Source organism: Homo sapiens, chromosome 4, assembly GCF_000001405.40.
Source record: "Homo sapiens chromosome 4, GRCh38.p14 Primary Assembly".
Taxonomy (NCBI): domain Eukaryota; kingdom Metazoa; phylum Chordata; class Mammalia; order Primates; family Hominidae; genus Homo; species Homo sapiens.
In genome coordinates, this window is record NC_000004.12 from 8,086,577 (window position 1) to 8,106,316 (window position 19,740).

Genomic DNA, 19,740 nt, shown 5'->3' on the forward strand with positions numbered 1-19,740 from the left:
TCAGGTGATCCACCCGCCCCGGCCTCCCAAAGTGCTGGGATTACAGGCATGAGCCACCACACCCAGCCCATGTTTCCCTTTTTAATTTGGCTGCCAGGAAGCTGTGGACAAACTGTTCAAAACTGATCTCCCCCTTTTAAAATTTGCCATAGAGCTTTTGATTACTATCTGAATTTAATTATAACAGTACTACTGTTTGTGAAGCCAAATTCTCAAAGATAGATAAAAGGCATTAAATAAAACCACGTTTACATTAAAAAAAAAAAGCAGTCAATCCAGGCCCCAGCTGGAGAGAAATTTTTGAATGGAGGACTCTCCTAGCAAGCCCGGAAGCAGCGCCCTCCCGACCCGGTGGGGCTGTGAACTTCATCCCAAGGGATGAAGGCTTTGCTTTGGCTCACAGAGTCAAATTATAACCAGCTCCCAGGGCCAGTGCTGCACCTCGGGGAGGCTGGAAGTGGAATCGCCTCTGTAGAGACTCTCAACGCAGCAGACAAGGTGGGGGAGAAAGGAGGCATTTGACACAGGAGAGGAAATTAATTGCGGGCAAGATGTTGACCCCAGAAATCAGGAGAAACCCCTCCTCTGTCTGGGGACACCCCAGTGACCACGGTGCTCAGAGTGGGCTTCTGCACCAGGTGCCTGGCAGCGGCGGGGCCTGGTTTGCTGGGCTTCCCTCCCAGAGCCTGTGTGCCATCTCATGATCCGGCAGAGCCACCCCAGCTGGGAAAGGCCACCTGGCTGCCCACTCCTTGCTGATACTTGGCCCCACACCTGCAAACCCCTGACACTTCGGCTGGCATTTGTTTTTTTTCCACACTAACAACCTCCTGCTTCCTAATTCAGGAAGCATCTTGAGCCCCCACTGCATACACACCTGGCCTAACTCCTGGGAGGTGGAGCAGTGAACCCAAGGGCCCCTGACTGCGGGAGCCCGGAGCTCAGTGTTCCTCTACAGGTTCCCCCAAAGGGGTCCCGGGTGGCCTGGAATTAACAGAGGGGAGCTGAGGGGAGTGAATGCCAGAGGGAGAGGACCTGAAGGAGACCTGGAAGGCTTCCTGGAGGAGGTATGCTAGAGCTGGGCAAAAGCAGCAGTGGACATTAGATGGGAAAGCAGCAGTGGGCATTAGATGGGAAAGCAGCAGTGGACATTAGATGGGAAAGCAGCAGTGGGCATTAGATGGGAAAGCAGCAGTGGGCATTAGATGGGAAAGCAGGAGTGGCACATGGGGTGGAGGAAACAGCCAGTGCAAAGACTTGGCGGCACGAGAGCCCCAGAAACTTCCATCCCTGGCTGCCTCCTCACATTTATTCACAGCGTTCACTGCAGCTGCTGCTGCTCTGGGTCCCCGTTTCTCAGGCTCTGTCCCTGGGCACTGCAGAGACCAAGCCCCCAACTCAGCACCCCCCCCACAACCAGCAAGCCCCCACTTAGCATGCCCTATACTCAGCACCGCCCCCACTCAGCGCCCCCCAGCACCTCCCACTCAGTACGCCCCACTCAGCGCCCCCCAACTCAGCATACCCACCCATTTAGCACCCCCCACTCAGCATGCCCCCACTCAACATGCCCCCACTCAGCGCCCACTTACTTCGGAGGCCCTGGGACAGGTGCGCGCTGCTGCCCACCGATACGGGCAGGGAACACTTCTGGCACATGCATTCCTTCCCGTTGAAGGTCACTCGGTCCCCGGGGGGGAAGGGCAGCCTGAAACAAGAGAGCTCGTTACCAGCCAGGCCCACCTTCTGGCTCCTCTCTGGGGGAGCCCTGTCCCAGTGCAGGAGACCAGGGCCAATGTCTCCCCAGGATCTTGCAAAGGTACCACTCACAGGCTGAGGAAATGCAGGGCCTCTCCACCCAGGCACTGCTGCGTCCCCGCAATAGGACCTCAGGTAGTCATCGACACCTGAGCCTCAGTTTCCTCATCTGTACCAACAGGCAGAATCATAGCACCTAAGGTGGTGGTGAGGACCAGCTGAGGGCCAGCCCAGTGCTTGGCACATGGCAACATGCCAGGCTGCCTGGGCCACCGGCCCCTCCAGCCCACCCTGCCTTCCCAGTCACATGGGATGCTTTCTTCATATCAGCTCAGCAGCAAGGACAGCAGCTATGTACACTGGGCATCTCCTGTGTGCCCAGGGCCCACTACTGTGATAGGTGCCCTATAGGCATGCCTCATGAGTAACCCCACGCCATTCAACCTAGTTGGTATTTGCTTCATGTTTTCTCTATAGGTGAGAAACTGGAGTTCAGAGAGGATATGTAACTTTTCCAAGGACACATGGATACGAGTCAGAACCAGAATCAAACCAAGACCTGTCTGGCTTCAAAGTTCCACGATTTAACTACCTGGGCCTCTAAGAGGGCAGTGTCTATAAAAGCACACCTCGTAGACAGGAAGATGCTGGACAATCGGATCCTGTCTTTATTTAAAATTCTGCCATTTTGCTCTAAATGGATTTTTTGCATTTATTTCAATTTTTTAAAGTATCGCATTAAAATATCATTTACTTGACTACTGAGTTTTTTGGCACCACCTTAAAGTCCGCCTCCGCAGCAAGTGCCTGGAGTGAGGCCAGGTGAGGGACCGCAGAGAGCTGGCCCATCCTCCTGCAGTCCGGGGATGTCTTTGGAAACTGAGGGATGGCTCAAGTAGCTGCATCTAGCAAGCTAAGGCCAGGCCACCTGCAGACAGGGCCAGAAGCACAGCCTGAGAATGCTGCCATGTCTGCCCTCGACACCTGCTGCCATCAAGCTCCCAGCAGCCACCGGGCCACTTTCCTTCCCCATCTGAGCCTGGCCAGAGAACCAGGTGCTTTTCAGGCAGAAGCCCGTGGAAGTGTCAGACCACGGGTGCCCCTTAAATCCCCTGTGTGGCCAGGCGCAGTGGCTCACACTTGTAATCCCAGCACTTTGGGAGGCTGAGGTGGGAGGATCACTTGAGGTCAGGAGTTTGAGACCAGCCTGGCCAGTGTGGTGAAACCTGGTCTCTACTAAAAACACAAAAATTAGCCATGCATGGTGGTGTGCACTTGTAATCCCAGCTACTTGAGAGGGTGAGGCAGGACAATCGCTTGAACTGGGAGGTGGAGGTTGCAGTGAGCCGAGATTGCACCACTGCACTCCAGGCTGGGCCAAAGAGTGAGATTCATATCAAAAAAAAAAAAAAAAAAAAAAAGCCCCTGCTCAAACACCTTTGTTGGGTTCTGTCTGTCTTCTTCAGGGAGGAGACAATGCATTCATTGTTGAATGAATGAATGGGTGAATAAGTGAAGGACTGAAGCTCTCCTAGGGGGCCACGCTTGGTCTACTCTCTCCTGCCAAGTCCCTGCCTGGCCTCCCACCAGGGCCTGCCAGATGGAGCTCCCTGAAGCTGGAGACCACCGTGCCTTCCCCTGCTGAAGGCCTGCCAGAGCACCCACCTGTGGGGCTGGCATCCAGTACCCTCGGTCCATGCAGCAGGTGTGTTCCTGGGTTCCCACTGGGCCAGTACCTTCTGGGGATCCAGGACAAATACAGGCTGAGCTGAACCCAGGGCCCTCCCCTCCCATCCACTGCCCAGGAGCCTGCACGGCTCTCCCATGCCCGTGTTGCCACCGTGTCAATGCTATGGTCTGCTGCCACCTGGGTCTCCGTGTCTTGCACCCTCCCTGTCATGGGGGATCTTGAGACAGAGTGGGAGCCCCTCCCCATCCCTGGATGTGCTTGGAGCGAATCTCTGGCTGTTTAACCTGGAACAAGCTACTCAGCCTCTCTGAAACACTTCCCACCTATAAAGTAGGACTGAGAATGCCTGCATTCCAGGTTTGTATTCATACATTCATTCGCCCACAGGACATCCTGCCTAGGAAGCTCTGGCTTATTGCCTGGACCTGGGAGGGGCTGACTCAATGGCAGCTATGATTGTATTTCCTCAACTTTATTGAGGTACCTTGTGACAAATGTACACACCCATATAACTGCCACCACCACAGTCATGATATGGAACATTCTTTCCACTGCAAAAAGCCCCCTGTGGCTGTCTACAATCATGCTGCTCACGACCTCTGGCCCCAGGCACCGTGATCATCATTGTCACCATGGCCCCAGACACTGTGATTGTCACTGTCACCGTGCATTAGATTTGTCTTTTTTTTTATTTTTATTTTTTTGCGGGATCACAGAGCACATAGTCTTTGGTGTTTTGTCAGCCTCGCGTTTTTCAGGTCCACTCATGCTATTTGCCAATATCGATCCTTTGTTCCTTTGAGGACGGAGCAGTGTCCATCCCATGGATAAATCACAACAGCCATTCCATGCAACTGCTGGGGGCTTCTGGGCTGTTTCCAGTTTGGGACTGTTACAAATAAAGCTGTTAAGCACGGTTGCCAACCAGCCTCTCCGCGGACACAAGCTTTCCTTTTGGGTGAATACAGAAGATGGATTTTCTGATCATATGCTAAGTGTGTGTTTAACTTTATCAGAAACTGCCAAGCCGGTTTCCATGGCCGTTGTGCCATTCTGCATTCACAACGGCACTGGAGGGACACTCCTCTGGCTTCACATCCTCACCAGCACTTGCCATGGTCCATCTTTTCAGTTTTAGTCGTTCTCATGGAGGCGTAATGGCATTTCTTTGTAGTTTTCATTTGCATACCCCTGTGACTAATGATGGTAAACACTGTTTCATGTATGCTGTTGGTCATTTGTGTGTATATATATAATTATATATAATATTATATATTATATTATATATATATAATTATATATATATTATATATATAATATATATATAATTATATATATATTATATTACATATAATTATATTATATATAATTATATGTAATATATAATTATATATTATATATTATATATAATTAATTATGTATTATATATAATTATATAATTATATATAATATATAATATTTTATATTTTATATATTTTGTATAAAATATAAAATATATATTATATATAAAATTATATATAATATTTATAATTATATATATTATATATAATTTTATATAAAATTATATATATAATTATATATATTATGTATAATTTTATATAAAATTATATATATAATTTTATATATTATATAATTATATATTATATAAAATTATATATAATTATATATTATATAATATACATAATATAATTATATAATATATATTATATTAATATGTATTATATATTAATATTATATATTTATTATGCATTTATATATTAATAATTATAGAATTAATATATTATATATTATATAATATATTATATAAATAATATAATATATTATTTATACAATATATTATATATACAATATATATTATAATATATAACATAATATATATAATATATTGTTATAATATATAATGTATATTATAATATATAATACATATTATAATATAGAATACATATTTTTATATATATTATAATATATAATATAATATATATATATTTTTTGAGACAGAGTCTTGCTCTGTCACCCAGGCTGGAGTGCACTGGCACAATGTTGGCTCACTGCAACCTCTGCCTCCTGGGTTCAAGTGATCCTCCTGCCTCAGCCTCCTGAGTAGCTGAGATTACAGGTGCCTGCCACTACACCTGGCTAATTTTTATATTTTTAGTAGAGATGGGGTTTCACCATGTTAGCCGGGCTGGTCTCGAACTCCTGACCTCAAGCAATCTGCCCACCTCAGCCTCCCAAAGTGCTGGGATTACAGGCGTGAGTCACCACACCTGGCCCATTTGTATATGTTCTTTAGTGAAGTGTGAAAGACAATAGAATCTCAGGACCCCAAACTCACTATGCCAAAGGGAAAGTTAAGCTGGGAACGGAATCATGCAAAAACTGCTTTCCTTTTGTTTCCAGAGAACTGTAGTTTCACAACCCCATGTCACATGTAAAATGTAAAACAGAATGGCGTATGACAAATGTAAAATGTAGATTTACAGAGGGTTAGTCTTAACTGTTTCCTGGACTCCCTCTTTTCACATGTAAAACATAGATTTACTGAGGCTCTGATTAGCATATGAGATGTAACTATAAAGACTGTAGCTATCTGCCTCATGGTCCTCCTCCTCCTCCCCTTTTTTCTCTCCTTCTTGCTCTTTCCCCCTTAAACACTGAAGTGTCCCAAACCCCCTTTGGAAAAAGCACAGCTCACAAGTGCTCCTGCGGCTTGCGTTTGACCCCAGGCACATCCTCAACCTTGGCTAAATAAACCTCTGTTGATTGAGCCCTGCCTCAATCTCTTTTTGGTTTATAGTCATCTCTATTAAACTCTTTTGTCCATTTTTTTAAAAGTTTTTTTGAGATGGAGGCTCCCTCTGTCACCCAGGCTGGAGTGCAGTGGCGTGATCTTGGCTCTCTGCAACCTCCACTTCCTGGGTTCAAGAGATTCTCCTGCCTCGGCCTTCCAAGTAGCTGGGATTACAGGCGCCCACCACCACGCCTGGCTCATTTTTGTATTTTTAGTAGAGACAGGGTTTCACCACGTTGGCCAGGCTGGTCTCAAACTCCTGAGCTCAAGTGATCTACCCGGCTCAGCCTCCCAAAGTGCTGGGATTACAGGCGTGAGCCACCGCACCCAGTCTCTTTTGCCCATTTTTAACAGTATTTTGGGTCTTATTATTATTGAGTTGTGAATAATCAATATTTTGTAAATAATCAATATTTTGTAGAGCAGCGCTTCATCAGACACAGGTGTGAGGGTGCAACCTTGAACTCATATCTAACATGGCACTCTCTGCCAGCTGATGGCTTGCTTTTGCAGTTTCTCATTTTGCGTTTCCTTCAGCCCACAAAACTTCCTGTAAGTTTATTTTGGTGCAGATTGGCTGGCAACAAATTCTCTTAGCTTTGCGTGTCTAAAAAAGTCTTTATCGTGCCTTCGTTTCTCAGTAACAGTTTTGACACTTTATTCACATACAATGTAATGTACAATCCAGCAGCTTTTAGCATATTCAGAGTTGTGCAACTATCACCATAATCAATTTTAGAACAATCTTATCACCCACAAAAGAAATCCCATACCCTTTAGCAGTCTTGCCTTCATTTTTGGAAGTTTTTTGTGCTTAGTCTAGAATTATTTGATAGATATTTTTCTCAGCATTTAAGAAATGTTGTTCTATTGTCTCCTAGCATACATAGTTTCTGATGAGAAGTCTGGAGTCATACATTTGTTCCTCTGTAAATAATTTTTGTTCGTCTGGCTGCTTTTAAGATTTCTTTTTAGCACTGGTTTTCAGCAATTTGATTAGGATAGATTTGGTAGATTCTGATGTGTTTATTCTGCTTGAAGTTCATTGAAATACTTGGATTCATTTGTTTATAGTTTTCACCAAATTTGCAAAATGTTCAGCAATTACTTCCTTAAACACTTGTTGGTCTCCCTTATCCACCTAGATAGAGAAATAGATCTACATCCACAGATCCCTGAGGTGCTTTTTGTGTTTTTCAGTTTTTTTGTCTCTCTGCTTAAGTTTGAATTCTTTTTAATGCTGTGTCTTCAAGTTTACTGATATTTTCTTCCAAAATACCCAATCTACTGCTAATTCCTTTCAGGAGATTTTCCACTTCGGCCATTGTATTTTTCATTTCTACAAGTACCAGTGGTTTCTTTTTATATCTTCCATAACTCTCCTATTATGTTCATATTTCCTTAAAATACTTAAACATATTTACAGTAGCTATTTTAAAGTCATTATTTGCTCATTTCACCATTCCTGTCATTTCTGGGCCTATTGCTGCAGCAGGACAAGCCACAGACAAAACTCCTCAAACACCGAGTTAAAGAAGGAAGGTCTTTATTCAGCCAGGAGCTTCGGCAAGACTCACGTCTCCAACAACTGAGCTCTCCAAGTGCGCAATTCCTGTCCCTTTTAAGGGCTCACAACTCTAAGGGGGTCTGCATGAGAAGGTCGTGATCGATCGAGCAAGCAGGGTATACGTGACTGGGGGCTGCATGCACCGGTAATCAGACAGGAACAGAACAGGACAGGGATTTTCACAGTGCTTTTCTATACAATATCTGGAATCTACAGATAACATAACTGATTAGGTCAGGGGTCGATCTTTAACTACCAGGCCCAGGGTGTGGTGCCGGGCTGTCTGCCCGTGTATTTCATTTCTGCCTTTTAGGTTTTACTTCTTCTTTCTTTGGAGGCAGAAATTGGGCATAAGACAATATGAGGGGTGGTCTCCTCCCTTATTGCTACTGACTTTTCTTCTGGCTTTGGGTCACATTTTCTAGTTTCCTTTTATTAGGTTGCTGATTTTTACTATTACTTTTAATGACAAAACCCACAATTACTTTTGCAACAACCTAATACAACTAGTAATTCCTTCCCTCCCTCCCTCTCTTCCCTCCCTCCCTCCCTTTCTTCCTTTCCTCCCTTCCTTTCCCTCCCTCCTTCCCTCCCTTTCTTTCTCTTTCTTTTCCTTTTTCTTTCTTTCTCTCTCTCTCTCCCCCCACTTCTTTCCTTCCTTCCTTCTTTCTTTCTTTCTCTTTCTTTCTTTCTCTCTCTCTCTCTTTCTTTCTTTCTCTTTCCTTTTCTTTCTTTTCTTTCTACAGGGTCTTGCTCTGTTACCCAGGCTGGAGAGCAGTGGTGCAATCATAGCTCACTGCAGCCTCAAAATCCTGGGCCCAAGCAATCCTCCCATCTCAGCCTCTCACATAGCTGGGACTACAGGCATGCACCACCATGCCAGACTAATTTTTAAATTTTTTGTAGAGACAGGGTCTTGCTATGTCACGCAGGCTGATCTTGAACTCCCAGCCTCAAGTGATCCTCGCACCTCGGCCTCCCAAAGTGGAGGGATTATAGGCATGAGCTGCTGTGCCCAGCCATCACCAGCAAGTTTTGATTGGACACTGAACACTTATAAATTTTACGTTGTTGAATGCTGGATTTTTAAAAATCTTCTTGTGAAAAGTGTTGGGCTTTGCTCTGGCAGACAGTTTATTTGCAGATCAACATGATCTTTTTTAAAAAATAATTAATTAAAAAATAGAGATGGGGTCTCTTTATGTTTCCCAAGCTGGTCTCCAGTTCCTGGTCTCAAGCGATCCTCCTACCTTGGCCTCCCGAGGTGCTGGATTACGGGTGTGAGCCTCCGCGCCCAGCCAGCATGATCTTCCTGAGGCTCGTTTTGTGCTTTGGTAGAGCAGGTTCACTGTAGCCTTCGCTCTAGGGCTGTTTTGTCTTCTGGATGAGACGCGACCTTTTGGTGTCCACACTGCATGCCCTGGGGTTCGACGAGGAATCTCTGCCCTGGACAGGACTCAGATGTTTCCCAAATCCAGGAATTGTTTCGCTTGCAGCAACCTGGTCATTCTCTGCCCCACTGTGTGAAATTCCTCTGCGACTACAGGGCTTCATATTTGGTCAAAGACTCCAAGGTACCTGTGCAGTTCGGCGCTCTTGCTCTGTGGTGCCCCTGCCCCTCTGGTATTCTGCCCAACATGTTCCAGCTGTGCCTGCCTTTCTAGTCACTGTCTCCTGCCTCAGGACGATGCCACGCTCCCCTTGGGTCTCTCCCCCAACCCCACGCTATCCTTCCGGAAACTGCCTCCAGGAAGGAAGCTGGGGCAATCACAGGCCTCGCCTCGCTTAACTTGTTCCTTTCTCTTAGTTCTGAGCTCCAGAGTCTGGAAATGGTTGTTTCATACATTTTGTCCAGTTTCCTAGTTGTTGATGGTGGCTGGACAAGTCCAGCTCCAGTGACTCCAATGCGACCAGGGCTGTCTGTTATTATTTTTTAAAATAATGGATTAACCAGAGGCGATCTTTCAAACCAACTGTGAGATGTCAACCCTCATCTCTAAGCCACGTACACAAAAATCAAACACTCGGATAATCCCTGGGAGAGAGAGGTCTGACTCAGGTCACGCTACGATGACACAGAGCGACTCTCCCTAGACATACTCCTTGTCATCGTCACCTCCTGTCCTTAGCATCCTCTGACGAAGGTTCCATTTCTGTCTCCGGCACACGCTGTAACCACAGGGAACTGCTTTGGAAACAACATTGAAAACGTCCCCTGCAAACACGGTGTGGTGAGACAGGGAGTACAGAACAGAAAACAAACTGTTTTTCATGTTTCTCTTCTTTGTTTTCTAGAAACAGAACATTTCCTCTGGGAGGAACGAGTCAGGGGCTGGGGAGGGAAGGGGGAGGCAGGGACCACGTAGGAAGGCTCCTGCTCAGCCCCAGGAGGTGCAGGCGGAGCGGGGCCGGTGCAGTCCTGTTGCCGGGATGAGGACCCAGTCTCCGCAGCCAGCACTTGCTGCATGCTTGCTCTGTGCCATGCACCAGACCCAAAGCGGGGCAGCCCACCCCTGCCCTCACGGAGCTCCCTGTGAGGAGGCCTCTGTATGCACCAAGACAGAAGGGTGCAGACTGTGGGGCCTGGAACAGCCTCGCTGCAGGATGCAGAGGGCGGGTCACGGGAGGGAGCAGGAGGAAGAAGGGAAGGGAGGGAGGGAAGGAGAAAAGGCCCAGAGAGGCAGGGGAAGCAGAGGCCAGGTGCCCACTTACTCACCGGCAGACGGCACACACGAAGCAGTCGGGGTGGTAGGTCTTGCCCAGCGCCGACACCACCTCACCCTCAATGAACTGGTCGCAGCTGAAGCAGCGGGTGCCGTAGAGCCTCTGGTAGTCCAGCGTGCAGATGTACTCGCCCTGCCGCACGAAGAAGCCGCCCTCGGCCAGGTCGCAGCCACATGCTGGGGGAGGACGGGCGAGGTGGCGTTAGCGGCAGAGGGGACCATCTCCACGTCCCCCAGGCCCGAGGTGCACCCCCCTCCACACACACACCACCACCTGACACAGGCACTGAGGCCTCGGCACACACTTGGGGTGGCTTGCTCAACTCTCGGCGGGCCGGGCTCCTGGGACAGACTCCAGCTCTGGCCCCTGGCCTGGTGGTGAGTGGACTTTCCTTACAGAAGCTTGGGAAAGGGCACTGACCGGGACAAGAGCCAGGCTCTCTTGAGGGGCTGCCCAGCCTCCCACCCTCGCTAGAGTGCCCCCAGCCTCTGTGACCCCGCCAGGGATGGTCCCTGAGCCCCTGCTGTCCTCCAGTGGGCTGTTTCCAGCACTGGGCATACAGATCAGGAAGGGGCTAATGCCTGATCACCTACTGTGTGCTAGACTCTGTGCTGGGGGCCGAAGGTTCCCAGGAGGACAGACCAGGTCCTTGTGGTCGGTGCCTCCAGCCCACCTCTAGGCTTCCCACCCCCTCCCCCACTCCTCTGGGTCTCCATGCCCTCATGGCCCTCGACGCCTGTCTCCCCACAGTGTGAACAAGGCCAGACCTGCAGGAGGAGAGAGCCTGTGGACTCCTGAAAGGGAAGCACTTTGTCTCTTTTCCCAACACACACCCGGCCCAGGAAGCTGAAGCCCTGGAGCTCCATGGAGGGCTGAGGGATCTCTGCCAGGTAGGGAAGGGAACACTCGCCCTCAGGACAACTTGCTGGTCACCACCAGCTCAGAGGCCCCCAGTCCATGTCCTGAGACCCGATCGCATTCCTCCCACAAGCTTCCCCTCCAGTGCCCAGGCCATGCATGGTTTCAGAGGGAGCAGCCCACAGCCTCCCCTGACCCAGCTGGCCCAGGCCCTCCCTGCTAGAGTCACAGAGGAACCCCCTGCAGCCCCAGCCCCTCTGGCCTGGTCAGTCCTGGGTCCTGCCTGCTGGGTCAATGCAGCTTACAGCCACCAAGGAAGGGCTTTGAGAAACCATGTAGCCCTCATACATTTTAAACCTGACATCTAAAAGTTTTCATCACAATGTTAATTGCTTGCAAAGGACGTCGTTTCTGCACATTGTGAATATGGGCACCTTTAAAGTTAACTGTTACATCATTCCTTTGAGGGCATCCAGTGGGATATCGAGGCCAAAGCAAGACCCTCAACATTTGCCTACAAAACCCCCAACAGAGCTCTGGGAACAAACTGGCTGGAAGCACCAGAGTGGCTGGAACGCCTACATTCCAGGGTTTACTTGTCTCCATTTCTCCAAAGAGATGTTAGCTCTTCTGATATGGTGAGACGTCAACCGAGCAGCTTAGATTCCAGATGCCGGAGCTGCCGGGATTCGAATCCCAGCTCTACCCGCGTAGTGTGCTGTGTGTCCCTGGGCAAGTTCCTTAACCTCTCTGGGCCTCCTTGTCCTCATCTAGCACACAGAACCTACTTCAGAGGGGTACACGGCAGCACAGATGAGCATCCCGTGAGCCAGTGCGATGTGAGACCTGAGTCCTGCCTGGCTCAGTGTCGAGGCCCTGGCTGCTGCTCTAATGGCTGCTCCTAAGAGGCCCAAGGCCAGAGATGCTGATTCTGAATTCTGTCTCAAGGTAAAAATGAAAACTCAGAACGAAATCCCATCTAGATGGTCTGGGAGGGATGAGGGCATGGTATAAGATGCCTGCACTCGCTCCTCCTGGGCGTTCCGGGGCGTTTATGAGAAACAGCCAAGGACTCCCAGCATCAAAGGGAAGCTCCAGACAGGTGGGCCTCAGCCCTGGGCCAGGGTGCCCTTGCTCTGCACTCCATGCTCTGGCTCATGAAAATCCAGAAGGAAACCTGGGCTGAGGATGAAAATGCTTTGTCCGATCTTGCACCATAGCGTAGACCAAGCAAATACATCCCAACTGGGGAGAAGCAGAGACTTGGGGGCCTCACTTTGGAGCATTATAGTATTCTGATGTCAGCGCCACCTGCCCCAAGACAGTAGCTGGATGGTGACTGGGCTCACAGCACTCATGGCTCTGGCATTTCTGTATTTCTCTATTCTTCTTAAAGACGTGACGGCGTGAGCTGTTCCTTGAAGGAGAAACATGTGGCAGTGGTTCTGGTGCCCCACTCCAGTGCTGTGAGTCCACTCCCGGGAGCACCAGGCAAGTGAGCATGTCCAGCCCCAGCCGTTATCTGGGAGGTTGCTGGTCAGATTCTAGCTGTCCTGAGTATGCCAAGGTCACCACAAGGTGGTTAAAACCCAGACCTCTGACTGGGCACGGTGGCTCACACCCGTAATCCCAACACTTTGGGAGGCTGAGGCAGGCAGATCACGAGGTCAGGAGATCGAGACCATCCTGGCTAACATGGTGAAACCCCGTCTCTACTAAAAATACAAAAAATTATCCGGGCGTGGTGGCGGGCGCCTGTAGTCCTGGCTACTCGGGAGGCTGAGGCAGGAGGATGGCATGAACCTGGGAGGCGGAGCTTGCAGTGATCCGAGATCGCGCCACTGCACTCCAGCCTGGGTGACAGAGTGAGACTCCATCTCAAAACAAAAAACAAAACAGCAACAACAAAAACCCCAGGCCTCTGTGTGCTAAAAATAAAATGTTCAAGTTCCCTGGTCATTTTAGAAATCCTTATGGAGACAACACATTGTTCTTATATTGCATTTTGCAATTTATCAAACTAGCACAGACACTGGCAGGAGGCAGGGCAGGTGGGGGTGATGGGAGCACCATCCTTTGGGCACACGCTGTGTTCATTTACGAGAAACAGGCAGGAGAGGGTGGCGGCTGGGGGGAAAAGATGAATCAACATCACTTTCTGGAATATCATTTGGCACTGACTCTAAGGAATGTGAAAACTTTTCCCGCCCTTTGACCCAGCAGTCCCTCTCCTGGGATTGTCCCAAGGAAATGACCATGACTGTCACAGAAATTCAGTTGCAACAATGTTCCCTGCATTATGGGTACAGTAAAATGTTGTAAATAGATGCCTGGGCTTTAGAGTCAGGCAGCCTGGGCTTGAGTCCTTGCTTCTTCCACTTCCCAGCTGTGTGACCTTGACCAAGTTACTTACCCTCTCTGAACCTCAGAGTCCTCATGTGTAAAATAGAGTTAGCAATACTGATCTTGCATGGTGGCTGTAAGAAATCAGTGAGATGAAGGCAGGGTGCGGTGGCTCACACCTGAAATACCAGCACTTTGGGAGGCTGAGGGGGGCGGATCACCTGAGGTCAGGAGTTCGAGACTAGCCTGACCAACATGGAGGAACCTCGACTCCACTAAAAATGCAAAACTAGCTGGGTGTGGTGGTGCATGCCTATAATCCCAGCTACTCGGGAGGCTGCGGCAGGAGAATCACTTGAACCTGGAAGGCGGAGATTGCGGTGAGCCAAGATCGCGCCACTGCACTCCAGCCTGGGCAACAAGAATGAAACTCCATCTCAGGAAAAAAAAAAAAAAAAAAAAAAAGAAATCAATGAGATGAGGTCTAACAAGCTGATTAGCCCAGTGTCTGCCTGGAAATGATGTTGACATCCAACAGTGCAAGAGTGACGACTACATTTACTGTGGGGCATGCATTGGAAGGAATTTGGGAGGATATTGACATGAATGTGAGGAATCTGCATGGTGAGGAAAGTGCCCACACACTAAATTGAAGCGAACGAATCAGGTATACGGCATGCCTTCACATTTTAAAGAGACTCAGACCAGGGGAAAGCTGGGAGGAATATACACCCAGATGGGAACAGGGACCACCCAAGGTGCTGTCCACCCGCTGCTATTTTTCTATATTGGTGAGTGGAAGACGGAGATGCCAATTCACATCAAAACACAAGAAAACAGAGAACCCCAGGGGCCTGAGTGAGCCTTAACCTGGGCGAGGGCTCCAGGGCTGGCCGGGCATCGCAGCTCCGAGTCTTGGCCCAGCCCGGCTCAGGATCCCCTTCTGTGAATAACAGGGGGATGAGGCAGACGTCATCTGAGATTCCTCCTGCCGGGACTTTCACAACTCTGCCATGTGATCTTGACACTCGTGCCCTGTGCGGCTTAGGCTGTGCGGAACAAGGAGTGCCCTGGGCCAGGGCCAAGGCCCACCTGTCTAGAGCTTCCCTTTGATGCTGGAGGCCCAGGGCTGTTTCTCATAAACGCCTGGAACGCCCAGGAAGCACGTGTGCAGGCATCTTGCACCATTCCTTCATTCCTCCCAGACCGCCTAGAACAGGCGGCTATTTATAGTCCCAGATGGATGCATCCTCAGGGACAACTCCACCTGCCTTACATGCGCAGCTCACGGGCTCTCCTCCCGGACACACGTCCTTCCCTCCCTGCCTGTTTTCTTGGCTCTTGCTAACATTGTGGACTTGCTCAGTTCCACTTCCAATAGGACCAGAAAATGCCCGCTCTCCCGAGGGCACACATGGGTGTGGCCTCATCTTTTCATCATTGCATTAACAACACATCACAGTTAAAACATATTCCCAAAGCACAGAGCTCAGCCACCCTTTGAAGGCCAAGTAAACCAGATTTGTTTTTCCAGGCATTCTGTGCTATGCGTTTGACGTATTTATGTTCTGCATGTATTCCCATTTGTAGAGTAAGGACAGAGCCAGCTGGATCTCAAAGACATCCAGAATGAGACACCTTCACACCCCTCATCCCAGCCGCCATTGGCTCCAGCCTAGGTGCCCGCACCTGCCTCTAGCCTCCTCCCGACTCCCACCCTGGCCTCCCTGCACAAGCAAGCACCCAGAGATCCATGGAAACCTACAAGGATGGAGCAGGACCCTCCTCTGTGTTTCCTTGCTAGTGTCAAAGCCACGGTCTTTGCAGGGATGTAGAGGCTCTATCTCCCTAATCCCCTTGGTCATTCTGCTTCAGCCACATGGGCCTCCTGCTGTTTCCCAAGCCTGCCTGCTTCCGGGTCTCTGCACTGGCTGTTCCCTCTGGTGGGAATGCTCTTCCCTCATTAACTTCCTCACCTCCTTCCACCAGGCTTTGCCCAAAGGTCACCTCCTCCGTGAGGCCCAGCCTGACCACCCAGTTTGCATCTTTCCTTCCCTAGCAGGGCTCACTTTCTAGCACATGATGAAATTTGCTTATTTATTCTTTATCATGTTTATTATCTGTCTCCTTGCATTAGACCTGGTCCCCATCCCCATAACGGGATGTCTGTCTTGTTCATGGCTATCTCCCAAATACCCTGAACAGTGCCTGGCACATAGTAGGTGCTCAATAAATAGTTATTGAATGACTTTTACTTAGAAAAACTGGGTTGAGACACCTGCCTAAGATCCACATGAGCTGTGGGTGGCAGAGGTGGAATTCGAATGCCCAAGCCTGGGGCAGCCACGGACAAGAGGATAATCATATGATTTCACAGATTTTCCCAGGTAAACTGAGGCACAAGTAAGTGCCTGGGTAGTGGGAACCCAACACAGTAGGAGCTCTTGAATTGTCTTCCCTGCTAACAGATCCTGCTTTGGCTCAACTGGTAATGTGCCCACCTGAGGACGGCCATGATTGGGCTAAGTCAGCCACGAGCCCCCCGTTCCTCTTTGCCGGTGGGGGTGAACGTGTGACCGAGTTCTGGCCAATGAGTCATATGGGGAGTCTATGGGGACTTCAGGAAAGGGTTCTCCTCCCTAATGAGAGGGAGGGTTATGCGAGGAGACAGGCTTTGCCTGTGCACATCTCCAGGCTGCATGCCATGCGGTGAGAACGTGATGTTGGAGCAACGGCAGCCATCTGAGACCATGAGGAGAGGCACTGCTGACACGCACAGGGTGCAGTGTGGGAGAGGGAACATTTGGGCATCCATCATGACCCTGGTGAGTTGTTTAATTAGCCAGCCCTGGGGTAGGGGTGTGGGGCTACCTCCAGACTTCGTGTTAAGATGACAAATATCCATGTTGGATATTTATGAGTTGGGTCTTCTTTTTATTCATCCCAAAGCACCCTCAATGATTCATACGCTGCACTCTCATGAGAGCCTGGAGAGAAGATTAATGCAAGACTGCAAGGTCCTCATGCTTAAACAAGTGCAGCTCATTTGAAAGCTTGCAGGAAATCGTAGTTACTCCATGCCATTCTCCAGCACAGAGGCCACCCACTGAAGGCAGAGCTTTCCCAGGAGAAGGGGTGGTCACTGCCCTGGCTGCCACATCTGCAGGGCCAACAGGCCTGGCACAGGTGCCTGGCACAGAGTGAGACTCTAACTGGCTGTGGGTGGGTATGTGGTGGATCTTGGCACTGGGCCTGCCCTCAGACCCCTGCTACTGCTGGAGTCCATGGTCACTAATCATCTTGGGTGATGGAGTGTGAGTCCCCAGCCCTGGGTCAGCCTGCCATTGACACTGTCTCATCCCATCGCCTGTCGCTGGCGAGGAAGAGGTTATGGTTATTCCCACATCCACTGAAGGAGGCTGAAATGGCCTGCCCAGGTGACAGAGGAGGGGGACCCGGGGCAGTTTCCGCCAGCTATGAGTCCGCTGGGTCACAGGAGGTGATGAGCTTGACTCGGGTCTGATGCATTTTGCTGCATGCCCAAGGTCTGTGCTTATGGAAATCCTTTCAAATAAAGTGCAAGCTTCCCCTTTGTCTTTTAAAATAGGCTTTTAAAAAGAGGCATCTAATGGATTTTGCTTTCCAGAAATGTGGCAAATGTATCTTCAGGGAGAGCTGAAAAAATTGCACCAGCTAAATCCCACGATGCCCTGGAAAGCCCTAATGAAAAGCATGAAATCCACTAGCTGCAGGGAGAGAAAGGCCAGGGTGGAGGCCACCCCTTCTCCCAGGCAATCGCTCCCTGGCGCTGACACGCCCCCTTTGCTTTGCAGCCTGGGCGGGGGATCCCGAGGCTCAGGAAGGCAGGTGGACCACCTGCTTGTTTTTGGAAATGTGGGAGGATGGAGGCCGGCCACACTCACACCCACAGCTCGTGCACTCACTCCCAGAAAACAAATCCTTCCCCGCGTGTGCCGGAGAGCGTGCTGTTCACTTCGTTGTTCTTCCAAAGTAGCCCCCAGAACTGCCATCCTGGGGGTGTCCCTGGGTCCCCCCATGAGGACTGGGCTTCACGCTGCCTTTGTCAGGGCAGTGGTATTGGGGTACCTGGGATGCCAGGGTGCTATGGGGAGAATTCACTGAGGGCTGAGCCAGGCTGTGGATGTACAGGGAATCCCTGGATCCAGGTGATTCTTGGGGCATCAAGTGCCCCCGGTGATGTCCCTGATAGTCACCCACGTCCTTGGACAGAGTCTCAGCATCTCTGAAGGTCGGGGCTGGGGTCTGCCTTAGCCCAAGGGATTCAGGGCACTCCCACTCCTGCCAGAAATGGTGCAGCCCCCTTGGGGTCCCAGGGCCAGTGGAGAGCTGGCTGAGCTCAGCGTCTTCCCTAAGTCACCGACCCCCTGCAGGGCTCCAAGTGCCGCGCTGTGGCCTCTGACCTCCTCCAGGGCCAGCGGCACCAGGGTCGGTTCTCAGATGGTCCCCTTTTAGCAGCAGAAGACTCTAGACCATTGGTTTTCAAGCTTCCTTTTCAAGCAACAGGACTCTACACACAGTCTTTAGACTGCGCCTGCAGACATGAACCGGACTAGTGGACAATGTCTGCACTCCGATGGGCAGCACTGGAGACAGCACCTGCTCCCCTCCTGCTCCCACTCACACCCAGGAGACCCTCAAGGCGCCTCCACAGAAACCCAGGAGGGAAGACCCTGGCCCAGGGCTGCAGACACGCCTGGAATGCAAACCCTGGGCAAGCTCCTCGCGCTTCCAGACCTCAGTGTCCCTCTTTCTGAAACACAGTCACATGTCTCCCTGGGCTGCTGGCGTCGGGAGGATTCCCTTCTGTCTGGAGCAGCCTTGCTTCTGCCAGGCAGATTTCTACTCCCGAGGTTCTAGCCAGCACGCCACCTCCTCTGCGAAGTCCTTTCTGGAGTCTTCGAAATCCTTCCCTGTGGGCATCCCCCCCTACACACATATACTTGGTTTTTACTATAAAAAGCCACCTTTTCAAATCGTGTTGCACACCTTACCTAACATTATCTCCCTCAGCAGACAGCGAATGTGTCCATGCTAAAGCTTGCGCCTTCCTGGTCTTTAGAACATTCAAGAGCCTGGCGCACAGCAGGGCCTCCTAGAGCCTTTGTGGAGCGGATGAATGCAGCCCGCAGCCATTGGATGGGGGCCGTGCAACGCCTGATGAAAATCATCATGCTCAATTATCGGCTTGTGGCACATTTCCTAGTTTTGTTTGCCCAGAAAAAAGCAAACCGTCAGCGCACTAGGGTTCATCGAGGGTCGTTATGGTTAAGCGAGTGTGAATCTCCAAATGGCCCAGGGGGCCGTCATACCGAACCCGCAGAAGGCAGGCAGGCACGGGGCCGCACACCGCAGCAGGGATTTGCAGTGTCCTTAATGTGATTCCTTTAAAACTGCAAACTCCTCGGGTCGACATCCATCAAATTGGTTTGATTTGCACATCCCTTCCTCCAGTGCTATTTTTAATCTATTTTTAGAAAATTAGCAAGGGCACATGCGTTATCTTTGTATAGGAAGGAGGAACAGGCTGGAGGGAGACTCGGCACAGGCCATCTCCGTTGGCCGGGCCCGGTTGGTGGGGCCTCACGTGATTTTTTTTTTGTTTTCCTTTTTTCTCAACTTTTCAGGATGATTGGAATTTAGTAGATTATTTACATTATTGGTTTATAGTCATAGAGAAATTGAAGTGATTTTAGTCTGGAGTAATGGTAGTGTTCGCAGTGCTACTTCGGGTGGGGGTCCCCGCGTGCCTGGGATCCAGCAAAGGTCCCGCGTGTCCCCCACTACTGAGTTCATGCGGCTGACCATGACCGTTTATTTACCTGTGTGGCTACAGTGCTCAGGTGGCCACCTTCCTCTGGCCGCAGGACCAGAATTCTCTGAGGCTGGGTGCAGCCACACGAGGACACCCCTAGGGACCTGGACCCTCATCCCCTGACCCTCCCCAATCTGGTGATTTCTCCATCACAT

General features: G+C 50.0%; 1 protein-coding gene across 50 annotated transcripts in view, besides 5 other annotated features; it reads right to left on the reverse strand.

Annotated features, from left to right (window-relative positions):
• The window catches only part of ABLIM2 (actin binding LIM protein family member 2), a 193,487-nt gene that overhangs the window by 121,250 nt on the left and 52,497 nt on the right, over positions 1-19,740 (reverse strand). For all 50 annotated transcript variants that reach the window (NM_001130086.2, NM_032432.5, NM_001130085.2 and 47 more), the window contains exons 3-4: positions 10,523-10,706; positions 1,593-1,708 (exon numbers count right to left, since the gene is read on the reverse strand). In NM_001130086.2, coding sequence (NP_001123558.1) covers positions 1,593-1,708; positions 10,523-10,706 — 300 coding nt within the window. The remainder of the gene's footprint in view (positions 1-1,592; positions 1,709-10,522; positions 10,707-19,740) is intronic.
• Positions 10,477-11,196: an enhancer, noted in NCBI's record as "H3K27ac-H3K4me1 hESC enhancer chr4:8098780-8099499 (GRCh37/hg19 assembly coordinates)". NCBI's record gives its function as "activates a minimal SCP1, AML or CMV promoter by ChIP-STARR-seq in naive H9 embryonic stem cells {active_cell/tissue: H9 hESC(naive)}" and the evidence as "EXISTENCE:reporter gene assay evidence [ECO:0000049][PMID:30033119]".
• Positions 16,742-17,453: an enhancer, noted in NCBI's record as "H3K4me1 hESC enhancer chr4:8105045-8105756 (GRCh37/hg19 assembly coordinates)". NCBI's record gives its function as "activates a minimal SCP1, AML or CMV promoter by ChIP-STARR-seq in naive H9 embryonic stem cells {active_cell/tissue: H9 hESC(naive)}" and the evidence as "EXISTENCE:reporter gene assay evidence [ECO:0000049][PMID:30033119]".
• Positions 17,454-18,163: an enhancer, noted in NCBI's record as "H3K4me1 hESC enhancer chr4:8105757-8106466 (GRCh37/hg19 assembly coordinates)". NCBI's record gives its function as "activates a minimal SCP1, AML or CMV promoter by ChIP-STARR-seq in naive H9 embryonic stem cells {active_cell/tissue: H9 hESC(naive)}" and the evidence as "EXISTENCE:reporter gene assay evidence [ECO:0000049][PMID:30033119]".
• Positions 18,164-18,873: an enhancer, noted in NCBI's record as "H3K4me1 hESC enhancer chr4:8106467-8107176 (GRCh37/hg19 assembly coordinates)". NCBI's record gives its function as "activates a minimal SCP1, AML or CMV promoter by ChIP-STARR-seq in naive H9 embryonic stem cells {active_cell/tissue: H9 hESC(naive)}" and the evidence as "EXISTENCE:reporter gene assay evidence [ECO:0000049][PMID:30033119]".
• Positions 18,874-19,583: an enhancer, noted in NCBI's record as "H3K4me1 hESC enhancer chr4:8107177-8107886 (GRCh37/hg19 assembly coordinates)". NCBI's record gives its function as "activates a minimal SCP1, AML or CMV promoter by ChIP-STARR-seq in naive H9 embryonic stem cells {active_cell/tissue: H9 hESC(naive)}" and the evidence as "EXISTENCE:reporter gene assay evidence [ECO:0000049][PMID:30033119]".